General features: G+C 38.0%; 1 protein-coding gene across 7 annotated transcripts in view; it reads right to left on the reverse strand.

Annotated features, from left to right (window-relative positions):
* The window catches only part of LMNTD1 (lamin tail domain containing 1), a 172,497-nt gene extending 162,370 nt beyond the window's left edge, over positions 1 to 10,127 (reverse strand). For all 7 annotated transcript variants that reach the window (NM_001145727.3, NM_001352234.2, NM_001352233.2 and 4 more), the window contains exon 1: positions 10,043 to 10,127. In NM_001145727.3, the coding sequence (NP_001139199.1) occupies positions 10,043 to 10,100 (58 nt within the window). In that variant the 5' untranslated portion in view covers positions 10,101 to 10,127. The remainder of the gene's footprint in view (positions 1 to 10,042) is intronic.
* Positions 10,128 to 13,921: the final 3,794 nt, after the last annotated feature.

Raw genomic sequence — 13,921 nt, forward strand, 5'->3', positions numbered from 1 at the left:
CTAAAAGCCTATTAGAATAAATGAGCTCAGCAAAATGATAGGATAAAAGATTAATATACAAAAAATAATTGTATTTATATCAATTTCAATGAGCAATCCAAAATCAAAATTAAGAAAATAATTCCATTTACAATGGCACCAAAACGAATAAAGTACTTAGGACTAAATTTAAAAAAAGAAATGTAAAACTTGTGCTCTGGAAATTATAAAATATTAAGAAAATTAAAGAAGACCTAAATAAATGGAACACATTGCATGTTGATAGATAAGAAGACATAACATTGTTAAGATGGCAGTACTCCCTACATTGATCTACAAAGTCAATGGAAAATTCCAACTGCCTTTTTCTTTGCAGAAACTGAAGAGTTTATCTTAAAATTCATGTAGAAAAGCAAGAGAGCCAAAATAACCAAAACAATCTGGAGAAACAAAGAACAAAGTTGGAGGACTCCAATTCTGGATTTCAAAACTTGCTACAAAGAGCAATGAAATGTGGTCCTCTGGCAGTGGGTTATACATATAGATCAGTGGAACATAACTGAGACTCCAAAAATAATTCCTATATTCATAGTCAATTGATTTTTGACAAGGGTGCTAAGGCAATTCAAGGGAAAAAGAGTGGTGTTTTCAACAAATTATACCCAGATAACTAAATATCTACATGCAAATGAATGAAGTTGGACCCTTCCTCAAATTACACACAAAAATTACCTCAAAATGGATCATAGACCTATATGTAAGAGTTAGAACTATGAAACTTTGAGAAGAAAATGTAGAAATAAATTGTTGTGGCTTTGAGTTGGGCTAAGCCTTTTTAGATATGACACTAAATGTACAAGTGACAAAATAAAAAAATAGATAAATTTGACTTCATCAAAATTGAAAACTTTTTTGCTACAAGGAATACCATCAAGAAAGTGAAGAGACAACTCACAGAATTAAAGAAAATATTTCCAAAGCTGATAAAAATCACGTGTCCAGAATACATAAAGAACCCTTCCAACTCAACAATAAAAAGACAAACAATGCAATTTAAAAATGGGTAAAGAAGTTGAATAGACATTTTTTCAAAAAAGATATACGAATAACCAACAAGCACACGAAAAGATCATTAATCATTAGGGGAATGGAAATCAAAACCACAATAAGATCCTGTTCTCAAACACTAGCCTGGGTATAATTTTAAAAGACAGAAAATAGCAAGTCTTGTTTAGTATGTGAACAAATGGGAAGCTTTGTACATTGTTTGTGGGAATGTAAAATGGTGTCGCTGCTTTGGGAAACAGTTTGACATTCTGAAAGTGTTAAACATATAGTTACCTTATGACTCGGCAATTCCACACCTAGATCTATACACAATAAATATAAAAACACATATCCACACAAAAGCTATATGTGAACATGCATAGTAGCATTTGTCACAATAGCCAAAAAATGGAAACAACCCAATGTCCATAAATTGATGAATGAATAAACAAAATGTGGCATATCCATCCAATGGGATATTATTCAGCAATAAAGAAATGAACTACTGATACATACTACCACATGGATGAACCTTGAAAACATGCTAAGTGAAAGAAGACAGACATAAAAGACCACAATTATATGATTCCATTTATATGAAAAGTCCAAATTAGGCAAATCTACAGAGACAGAAAAGAGATTAGTAATTGCCTCAAGCTAGGTGACTTGGGGGGAGAGGAGTGGGAAGTGACTGCTAACGAGTGTGAAGTTTCTTTTAGAGGTGATAGAAAATAGAATAGGTAATTAAGATTGGGTGCAGTGGCTCTCACACCCATAATCCCAGCACTTTGGGAGGCCAAGGCGGGCAGATTGCTTGAGTCCAGGAGTTCGAGACCAGCCTGGGCAATGTGGCAAAACCCTGTCTCTACAAAAAATACAAAAATTAGCCGGGCATGGCATGTCTATAGGCCTAACCTACTCAAGAGACTGAGGTTGGAGGATCACTTGAGCCCAGGAGGTGGAGGTTGCAGTGAGCTGAGATTGCACCACTGCACTCCAGCCTGAGTAACAGAGTGAGACTGTCTCAAAAAAAAAAAAAAATCTAAAATTATATTGTGGTGATCACATAACTATGTGTATATATTAAGAATCATTAATTACATTAAATAATGTTATTTAAAAATTTATTAGTTATCCATGACATTACAATTGTAATAAAATATCAGCTTATTGAAGAAAAGAGGTTTTTTGTTTTTTTTTTGAGACGGAGTCTCGCTCTGTCGCCCAGGCCCTGGAGTATAGTGGCGCAAACTCAGCTCACTACAAGCTCCACCTCCCGGGTTCACGCCATTCTCCTGCCTAAGCCTCCCGAGTAGCTGGGACTACAGGTGCCCACCACCATGCCTGGCTAACTTTTTTTTTGTATTTTTTAGCAGAGACGGGGTTTCACTGTGTTAGCCAGGATGGTCTCGATCTCCTGACCTCGTGATCCACCTGCCTCGGCCTCCCAAAGTGTTGGGATTACAGGCGTAAGCCACCGTGCCCAGCCAGAAAAGTGTTTTTAATTTGAAGTATATTTAGTTTTCTTTTCTGTTCATTTACTCATACTACAAACATTTACAGGACATCAAAAAGTGCTTGGTACTAGCAATACTCAGATGAAAAATAATTTCTGCAACTAATACTGTGTTTGGCATGTAGTATGTACTCAACCAGTATGTTTTGGATGGATGGATGGATGACTATAGAATAGATCTGATAAGTGCAAGAAGGTAATAGTATTCTGTTTTTATTAATGTTCATAAGGCTGTACTAATGTAGCAAAATTTGAATTTTACCAAGACTAGGTAATATTGATGTCTTGATTTCCTTTCCTTTATAAGGTGCATGTATAAACCAGCAGTTTGGCTGAAAAAAATGAACAGCAATAAGAAAATTATTGGCTGATACAGTAAGCTACATGCCATGGAAAGGTTCTGAGGTTTATTGTCAGGAAAAAAATAATGGGTTCAAATATTGTCTGTGGCACTTACTATCAATGTGACCTGAGGTAAGTATTTAAGCCTTTGTTCAGTTAAAGGGGAATAACATAACATCTTTCCTACTTGGTAAGATTATTAATAATGTGTATTTAGAAACCAGCATAATGGTCAATAAATGGAAGTTATGATTATTAAGCTTAACTTCAAATAGATATACTTTTTATAAAAGTAATATAATAACTGCTTGTACTATTATTTATCCACAAGGGTAAACATTTAAAGTGTATATTTCATATGTCACATCAAACTTTGTAGTAAATAATAAAAGAAACATTATGAAACTCTGCAGTTCCACAGAATATAATATAAGAGATGCACAATTTGGAAATTAAACAACTGCTGAAAACCTGGTCTTATCCATTTAGGCTTCTCTGCTTTCCCATCCTAATTTTTTTTCACTCTTGAATAATAAATATATCATTATTATTTGTACTATTACTTACAACCATAGTAGGACTTTTCACTTTTTAAAAAGTAGCTTGAAATTATTTATACTAAACCAAATTTGCGAATTTCAGTCAGAAATTCTAAAACTCAATTCAGCAACCCAAGAGTTTTCCTTACTGTACAGTCTCCTCATTAACCCAACCATACTCCATCCAAATCTTTAAAAAACATTTCCCCAAAGTTAGTGGAATGAATTTTATGATTTAGATGCCATTTACAAAATAATATATGTTAAAGGGTCCAGGTAAGGAACTATATTTTTGTTTTGGGCCTTGAGAGAAGGAAGCTTATGAACTGAATGTTTGTGATCCTTCCCCCAAAATTCATCTGTTGAAGCTCTAATCACCACTGTGAGGGTATCTGAAGGTGGAACCTTCGGAGGGTAATTAGGTTTAAATAAGGTCATGAGGGTTGAGCCCCCATAATGTGATTAAATATATCTTTATAAGGGGGTGAGAAAACTGGGGCTCTCTCTCTGTTGTGTGAGGATCTCATGAGAAGACAGACAGCCATCTATGAACCAGAAGGAGGGCCCTCACTAAGAACCCAACCATGCTGCACTCCGATCTTGGACTTCCCAGCTTCCAGAACTGTAAGAAAGAAATGTTTGTCGTTTAATCCTTCTGGCCTGTGATGTTCTATTAAAGTAATCCAAATGGACTACAACACTCCATCTGTCTTTGGTCATCTCTGCTTTAGTACTGAAGGTGCCAAAAATTAACATTAGCTTTATTCTCCAAATATAACTTTCTTCCTTTCAAAAAATATTTAAACTTGTTCAATCTTTTAAAATCTTTTAATCTCTTTTAATCTTCTTTCTCCTCATCTCAGAAAAGAAAAGCATGGAGAGCCTGTTTCTTAAGGACATTATTTGAGTCAGAGCTACCTTAGCTGATGCTCAGTGGATTAACTTCACTCTGGTGCCACAGCCCCAACCTGAGCTCAGTACAGCCAATTGGAATTTTATATATGTCCCACAAGTCAGATTTCTCAGGACTGTATTTTCAAATCTTCTATTTAGTCATGCCACGTCTATGATATATTTTCGATATTAGAGGTCAGTATGCATTCAACAATTCAGTTAATGCAACGTTCCAAGCACTGTTCTAGGCTCTGAAAATATAGCACAAGATCATAGCCTTGAAGAAGGATTAATAGTCCTTTAAGAATAAGCTTCTCTAAGATCTTATGATCCTTGAGTGAGACAGAAAAAAACATATAACATGGTAATTTTAGATTGTAATAAGAGTCATACAGCAAGTCATGACAGAAATATAAATAAAACTTACATTATCATTTATGATTATAGTGGGATGAGCAGGGGAAGCCTTTCTAAACAGATGACAGTTGAGTTGAATCCTGCATGACAAGAAGGAGCAAGACATGCAAAGAACTTTAAGAAAGGTATTCAGGGGAAGCATCCAGCAAGGCCAGAGACCCCGACACCTGGTGGGTTTGAAAAATAGAGAGGAGGCCAGTGTGCTGAGTAAGCAAAGAAAGAATGACATGAGATGAAAAAGGTTAACAAGGGCCGGATGATAGAGGGCTTTATAGACAATAGAATATAGGATAAACAAGGAAGAGACTTACATATTCCTTTTTAATAGCAAGGAAAATATCCCAGGAAGTTCTGTAGCAGATTTTCCTTTCAACTCATTAGCCAGAATTGTGCCACATGTGCATTCCAATTTTTAAACCGATTGCTGACAACAGGAATTGAGCTGCCATGATGGGGCCATGACTAATCGAGTGTCACTTGGATGACCAGTCACCCTGAAGACCATGGCCCCCTGGGAACTGCATAAAATCAAGGTTCTGATGGCAAAGAAGAAGGGAGGAGTGGCTGTTGGACAGGATCCTGATGGAAAGTGCCAGAGAAGTCAATGTTTGTTATCAAGTGGAGGTACCAGGTAGTTAGTTGATTATGAGTCCAAAATTCAGGGTGTCGGATGAATGGCAAATGGCACATAGCTGACATTTATGGTCAGGAACTGGACAAGATCACCTGGAGAGACTGCACATAGATTTAGAAGTCAGTCCAGTATTGAGATCAGATAAAGTAAAAGAAATAAAGAAAGGATTGGCCAGAGCTAGATATGGGAAAGCGTTCATCATAAAAGCCAAGAGAGAAAAGTTTTCCATGAAGGAATTGGACAGCTGGATCAGTTGTGGCTGTGAAGAAGGTGAGTATAATGAAAACAGGAGAAGTGCACATAGGATCTAGCAATATTAAGATTGTGGTGGCCTTGACAGAGCAGATTCAGTAAATGGTTAAGTAGAAGCTTGAAGCCAGGTGTGATGGCTCATGCCTGTAATCCCAGGACTTTGGGAGGTCAAGGCAGGAGGATCACTTGAGCCCAGGAGTTCAAGAGCAGAATGGGCAACATAGTGATATCCCTTTCTCTACAAAAAAAAAAAAAAAAAAAAAATTAGCCAAGCATGGTGGCATGTGCCTGTGGTCTCAGCTACTCAAGAGGGTGAGGTGGGAAGATTGGTTAAGCCTAGGAGGTTGAGGCTGCAGGGTGCTGCCACTGCATTCCAGCCTGGGCAGCATAATAAGACCTGTCTCAACAACAAACAAACATACAAACAAACGAACAACAACAAAAAAATCCACACACACAGAAACAACAACCACCAAAACAAACAAACAAACAAAAACAGAATCTTGATAGAGTAACCAAAAAAGAGAATGATGAAAACCAAGGAAGTATTTTGAGGTTTTTTTTGTTTTTGTAATTTGGGAGTTCACAGAACTTGCGTATATGTTGCCTGGAATGACACCATGTGGAGAAAGCCATAGATGCTGCAGAATAGAAGGAGTTTAACTATAAGAACAAGAATCCTTGGAAAGGTGAGGGTGGGTAGGATCAGAGTAGGACCGGAAGGATTCACCTCTGATAGGAGCAGACACATTTCTCCTGTTTCAAAAACAGGGAAGGCAGAGACAATATGGGCACAGAGACTGAGGTACATAGATTTGACGAGATGAAGGCACTCTTGTCCAATATTAGATTTCTTTTTCAATGAAGTATGAGTCTAAGTCATCAGCTATGAATAGGGAGGGAGAAGTGTGAGAGGTTTTGGGAGAGAGGAAATGTGAAATCGTCATTTCAAAGACTCAAAGGGGAACTTTATTAGGGAAAACTAGTAGGACTCTTTCGCAGTACTAAGGGCCTATTTGAGGCCTGAGATTGCAAATTTAAAGTGCAGCCAGGACAACAGATGTGATTAATCTCTAGGCATAGAGAAAATGGCTAGTTAGGCTCATGAAGAGTTGGAGTCTAGCCAGGTAAGTACAGGGAGAGTGGGGCCAGAAAATTGAGCATGTTTTCAATTAAATGATTTTAGAAATGGGTCATGAATTGTAAGCTGGGCAAAAAGAGAAGCAAGGTTTCGAGAGTAGTGAAAATTGTGAAAGAGTGACAGCATCAATGGACTAGAGGTTTCAATAATTAAGGAATAATTGCAATGGAGATGTGAGGGTAAGGGAGTTGAAAGGAGAGGTGGTTGTGACCATTAGACATATTTCCACTTTGAAAGGTTACGTTGCTCATACATTATTACTGGATGTTCACTGCAGCCTTTAAAAAAAGATCAAAGTAACTGCTGAGCCCAGCTCGCTAACATAGAGTAGAATTATGTGTGGCTAAGAAGCAGCCATGTGATTAGGGAATTGATAATGTGCTAATTCAGTGATACCATGGTAAAATGGGCCACAGAACATTAGATCTGAGCGATACAGCAACATCACAGCACAAGGAAAAGAGCTGGGGCCTGCTTCAAACCCAGCCGTGACATGTAGCAGCTGTATGTGTTTCAGACTTTCTGAACCCTTCTGCATTTCAGTTTGTCCTTTTAAACTGGGATATGGCTACCTCCTTCACAGGGTTGTTATGCACATGAAGAAGGATAATGTATGTAAAGTAACTGTAAATAGCAGGTTCTCAGTAAATATTAATCACTGTGAAAATAAGGAGCCATGTCACTACTGCTGCATGGTAGTTTTGGAGTCACTTTGGGAAGCTTGTAGGTGTTGAAGGAATGTGACACTCAGAAGGACAATGAAAGGATTCTCCTTGTAGGGCCCTCATGGATGAGGACAAATCCTGGGTTGGTTATTGCATTGTATCTAATAATTCTGATGATAGGATTGAAGTCCTGTTTGTTGGCTATTGACAGTGTAGAGGTCAAAAATAAAATCACAATACCTGGGTTAATTTTTTTTAAATAAATAGTAAACCCCAAGCTATGAGGGATGGCATTGTTCAAGATGGTATGGGGTGGAAGACGTACCCCTTGCCCACCAAGAACAGGCCTGTTGTTCATTGACAGCATATGGAAAGTAGAGCTCAGTGTCCCTAAATGAGTTCCAAAACCATCCTAGTCTTTACCCTCCTCTCAGCTCCCTCTCATCTCTCCTGGCCCTCTCCCATCACTCTGGCCCTCATCTGCCCCCGATTTGTCATTTGATTGTTCTGTCTTCTCAGATTCATCTTGGTTTCCAGCATCTGATCTCTCTTTCCAATGGTCTTCTGCTTTCCTCTTGAGGGACTGCCAGTATCCAACCTAGCCCTAGGATCATTTTTTTTTCTCTTGTGCTTTTCTCAAAGCCCCTTAGAGGGGCAGCTGGGTCAAGAGGGGTGATGTCTGCCACTCATGTGTGTTAACCCAAAGTCCCTGGTTTTTCAGTACTCCCTGGCTTTGATGATTGCTGGAGTAAAAGGTAGCCTGGGAGTATGCAGAAAGGAAGCATCAACCATAGTTCAGAGATAGGTCACCACCGACTGAACAGGTGGGCAAAACAAAATTCTAACAGTAGTAAGCTGCCAGTGTTTAAAAATATAATGTCCTGGTGGCCTTAGAAAATCCTTAAAAGGTAGGTAAGGATCTATTGGAGCTTAGAAAATGTAAATGCAAACCAGCTGTTTGCCAGCAATGTTGCTTTCAGAGTATTTGCATTTTAGTCTTTCAACTTTGAAATTCAAATAATATGAAAACTTCTCTATGACATGGATCTATTAAATCTGAGAGGTTGTTGATGTACCTTGTTTAAGACCCATCAACTAGTAAAAAGCAGAATTAAAGTGGCAGACTTTTCAAATGTCTTTCCTAGTATTCTGGGATGAAAATAATTTGGATTTTCTTCTGGTGACTTCTCAAATCCTTACAATGTCATTTTCCAAAACGATTGAATAGGTTTTTGATACCTTTATATCTAATAGATCATTTGACTATTTAATAATGTCTACAATAATAATATTGTCTACAATAATAAATATGTTTCTGATAAAATTTCTACAATCTGGCTGGGTGCAGTGGCTCATGCCTGTAATCCCACCAAGGCAGGTGGATTGCTTTGAGCCCAGGAGTTCAAGATCAGCCTGGTCAACATGGCAAAACCTATCTCTACCAAAAATACAAAAAAATTGGCTGGGCATGGTGGCCTGTGCCTGTAGTCCTTCCCAGCTGCTCTGAAGGCTGAGGTGGGAGGATGGCTTGAGCCTGGGGGGGCAGAGGTTGCAGTGAGCTGAGAATGAGCCATGGCTCTCCAGCCTGGGTGACAGAGCCAGATCCTGTATTAAAAAATAATAATAAAAGTAAAAAATGAAAAAATAAAATTTCTATAATCCAGCACAAATCATTTTTGGAAGTAGTTAAAATATAAGTTTAAAAAATAAAATGTATAGTTAAATCTGTGTTCATTTATTCATCCTTTTATCTCTAGCATGTTGCATGGTTTCTAACATTTACCAGTTGAATAAATACATGAATACACCAATTACTAATTCATCATCTTCTGAGTTCTCAGTACTATACATAAAAAAGCATTTGCTATTATTTTAAATTAAATTTATTTCATCTGAAATCTTGAAACTGGGTAATCTGTCTCTAGTTGACCAAAATGGTTCCTCTTGACTATTACAGATTGGTAAAAACAGCCAATTTCATAGGAACTGTCAAATAACGTTCAAAATTGGTAAAAGTGGAGACTTTAGGACAAATTATCTGAGGATGTTTTCTCTTTCTCTTCCTTTCCTTCCTTCATTCCTTCCTTCTTTCCTTCCTTCCCTGCTATATTACTATATTACTATTATTATTACCAAAGGATTATTTAGTCAAGATAGAGAATGTAGTTTTTTAAAATGTAAAGTTTTTCATCATAAAAGTAATGCATATTTATTGGAGGGAATTTGGAAAACATAGGCAAGCCAAAAGAAACAATGAAAATCACTGAAAATGTTACTTCTGTAGGATACCTCTTTTTACACACTAATATGTCATTCTTGTTTATTCTATACATACGTGTTCATTTCGACAGTCATGGGTTCCTGCTACACATACCATTTCAACATTCTTTTTTCACTTCAAAATCGTCTGTACAATGTTTCACTCAAAAACAGCATCTCAATTCATGCCATTTTTATTACTTTAGAAATTTCACGTTTATGAAAAAAATTGTTCTTATATCTCAGTGATGACAGATATGACCACTTTCTAAAGTGTCAGGTGTTAGTATAAAAAGGAAATGAGGGAAGCCAGCGAATTGCCTGATGGGGAAAATCCAGCATTCATTTCTCACTTACTGTGGTGGGTCTGGACTCTGGAAACACCGATGTCTCCTGCTCTCACTGGCTGTTGCATGTAGTGTCCTTAAGCTTCTTCTGTTATGCTCAGCCCCGGAGATCTGGCACACAGAGCCATAGTAACAATGCGTTCAGCCAGGTTTCCTTAGCTACACACTAGTGACAGGACAGGACGCTGCCCTAAAGTGCCTGCCGCTGACTCAGGGAGGAGGCTTGGAACACACAGCGGGAGGTGGGAATGGCTTCTGCCTCACCCAGAGGGGCTGTCACCTTAAAAGGAAGTCACTCCATAGGCTTACAGATCTCATGCCCTGGCAGGGATCTAACAAGCTTTTATGGGTTTTATAGGATCTTATCTGCTTGGTAACCCAGTTTAATCATACAGAAAATTTATTTTTTTTACTTTTACCCTGTATGAATTAGTCAGCAAGCAAAGAACTTGCAATGATTATTTTCCTAAGTGAATTCCTTTTACATTCCATATTAGGTTAATGAGTTCAGTGTCATTTCAACGATACGTGTGTGTGCCTGGGGGTTTTTGTCTTCCTATATATATGCTGCATTTCCTGATTTCTCATTTCATCTGGCTAATATGTATCAGGCACTGTGCTCAGTGCTAGGGGATCTTAGAAGGAATTCTGTAATCTCTCTCAAGAACTGAGTTGCCCAATACTGTAGGCATTAGCAACATGTGGCTATTTAAATTATTTTTCTATTTTTTTTTTTTTTTGTAACGGAGTCTAGCTCTGTCGCCCAGGCTGGAGTGCAGTGGCACGATCTCGGCTCACCACAACCTGTGCCTCCCAGGTTCAAGCGATTCTCTTGCCTCAGCCTCCCAAGTAGCTGGGATTACAGGCGCCCGCCACCACACCCAGCTAATTTTTGTATTTTTAGTAGAGACAGGGTTTCACTGTGTTGGCCAGGCTGATCTTGAACTCCTGACTTTGTGATCCGCCCGCCTCAGTCTCCCAAAGTGCTGGGATTACAAGTGTGAGCCACCGGGCCCAGCCACTAATTTTTAATTAATTAAATACAATTAAAACTTTACTTTCTCAGCCACACTAGCCACATTCCAAGTGCTCGATACACATAACTAGTGGCCACTATACCAGATAGCACAGACACAGAACATTTCTGTCATTGCATACTATTCCGTTGGACAGTGTTGGTGGAGCTACTAAGAGAATGTTGATCCTGTTAACAAATTATGTTTCTGAATCTATAAAATTGGATCCATCTTTCCAAATGTTTTGCTAATTCTCCTTTGTGATGGTTTTGTAATTACACAAACTATTCTGCAAGGAAGCTTAAGGAGATAAGCTTTAGGAAGAGAGTAATGAATAGCATATGCTCATTGTCTAGGCAGGTCTCCAAAGGTCCCCAAACTTTATATAATTGTACACCATTATAGGAAGCATTTTAAAACAATCACTCCCAATACAGGTATTTGCATTAAAAAGTAATTAATATGTGCTACTGTCAGCTAATATTTCAAAGCACAGTCTATATATTTAGGGCTCATTAATGAGAGTTGATATAAAACCATATTCCAATAATCTTCTTGATAATCTTGAATCTCAGTCCAACTACTTGTCATATCATATGTCTGTGATACAGACTGGTATGAGTGTAAAGTTAGAATCCGGAATAGTCTATATTCAGTTCCACCACTTTCATTATTTTCGGTTATACGCATCCACCAAAACTAGGTTTAACAAGCATACTAGAAAATCTCTTATGATGAATAGATAAGTGTAGTTCATAATTAGCAAACCAACAAGCCACCTTAGCACTGCTGGATTTCCACTTCTGTGGCCGTGGCTATATTTAGATATAAACAGGGAACACTTGCAAATGATTAGATTAAGTAGGTAAACTTTCCCATTATAAATTTCTTTTTCTTTTCTTTTCCTTTTATTTTTTTGAGATGGAGGCTTGCTCTGTTGCCAGAGTGGAGTGCAGTGGCCACTGGAGTGCAGTGGCGTGATCTCGGCTCACTGCAACCTCCGCCTCCCGGGTTCAAGCAATTCCCCTGCCTCAGCCTCCTGAGAAGCTGGGACTACAGGCGCACACCACCAACCCCGGCTAATTTTTTGTGTTTTAGTAGAGACAGGGTTTCACCATGTTGACTAGGATGGCATCAATCTCCTGACCTCGTGATCCACCTGCCTCAGCCCCCAAAAGTGCTGGGATTATAGGCGTGAGCCACCGCACCTGGACCCATTATAAATTTCAAACATCACGCTTGCTTCACAAATTTCTTTTCTATCAATGGAACTAATTCAGTCCTTAATATGTGACACTCCAAATGAACAGAATTATTGATTTACTCATTTTCATTTAAAAGAAATATGACAACAAATACAAAATGCAGTTAGAAAGGAATGCTACATGGATTTATATACATAGAAAATCAGCTAATTAGAACAATGCTTTTCCATGTTATATCTGTTTTCTTCTTTATTATATTGCTATGAAGTGGGCAAAGTAATTTTTTAACTCTTTAAAACTTCTGTCATAATTGTGTCTGTGCCTCTCCTCCATAAAATTAAGTATTTCATAACTCAGTATTTGTCCTAGTTTAGTCATCAATTTGCAGGGGAAAACAGACCTTAGCACGTCACTTGCTAAGGTCCTTGGGCCTTTCTTTGCTCCCCTGTCTAATAAGAGAATTGGAGTATATTATTTTTTAGTTGCTTTCCAAATCTTCATTCTCAATTTTTAAGAATAGAGAGTAGTTTTAAACTACATTATTCATCTTTTTATAGAAAATTATTTTTAAGCTATATGAGGCTTATATATGTTTATTTTAGTTAATCTTTTTTAAATTTTTTAATTTTTTCCCCCCGAGATGGAGGCTTGCTCTGTCACCCAGGCTGGAGTGCAGTGGCCCGATCTCGGCTCACCGCAACCTCCCCCTCCCAGGTTCAAGTGATTCTCCTGCCTCAGCCTCCCGAGTAGCTGGGACTACAGGCACATGCCACCATGCCTGGCTAATTTTTGTATTTTTAGTAGAGACGGGGTTTCTCCATGTTGGTCAGGCTGACCTCGAACTCCTGACCTCGTGATCCACCCACCTCAGCCTCTCAGAGTGCTGGGATTATAGGTGTGAGCCACTGGGCCCAGCCTTACACATTTTTAATTGGCTAAGAAATCAATTATGTATTCAGAAATAAAAAAAATTCAATCCACAAATCTCCCTCTGAAAATAATAATAAAGAAACATACCAGCCCATGGTACCAGGTTCCTATATGGTACCTTTATAAATCCTGCACTGATTTCTTACCTGAACAAGGTCCTTCAAGTTATGCTGTGATTTTCAATATTATGAGAGCAAAGGGCATATTCACTGAATTTCCATGGTTGATTCTGTGCAAGTTATTCTGCATATACAGCAAGCTGAATCTATTTAAAGGCCAAAATTCATTCACCAAAGTCACCTTTACAAATTTTAACAAACGTATAAGTTTGAGCAATGCTTACAGTAACTAGATTGATTAAAATTAAACTAAACACTTTGAAATTGCACTTAATTTTGAACTAAACATGAATTTACAAGGCAACAGATGAGACTGAGCACACCCTCTCCATGCTGATTGCATCAGGTGTCTGAAACAAAGCAGCAAAGGGGGTCATTAGCTCCTAAAGGAGCAATTAGGTAAAAGTGCTGTGATTTACCATATGTATAATGTATGAGGCTTCTGGAAGGGTTTCAGTCTATGCAAAACAGGTCAAAATAATAGCAGATGTTTCTTCAAGGGGTACTAACACAATTCAATAATCTATCTATATCTAAAGTTCCCTTCCTACAGGATGTTATATTGGGCAATTTAGAAATGATACCTTACAGCCAAAAATTATTTTTTAGTGCTGATGAA

This window comes from Homo sapiens, chromosome 12, assembly GCF_000001405.40.
Source record: "Homo sapiens chromosome 12, GRCh38.p14 Primary Assembly".
Classification (NCBI taxonomy): domain Eukaryota; kingdom Metazoa; phylum Chordata; class Mammalia; order Primates; family Hominidae; genus Homo; species Homo sapiens.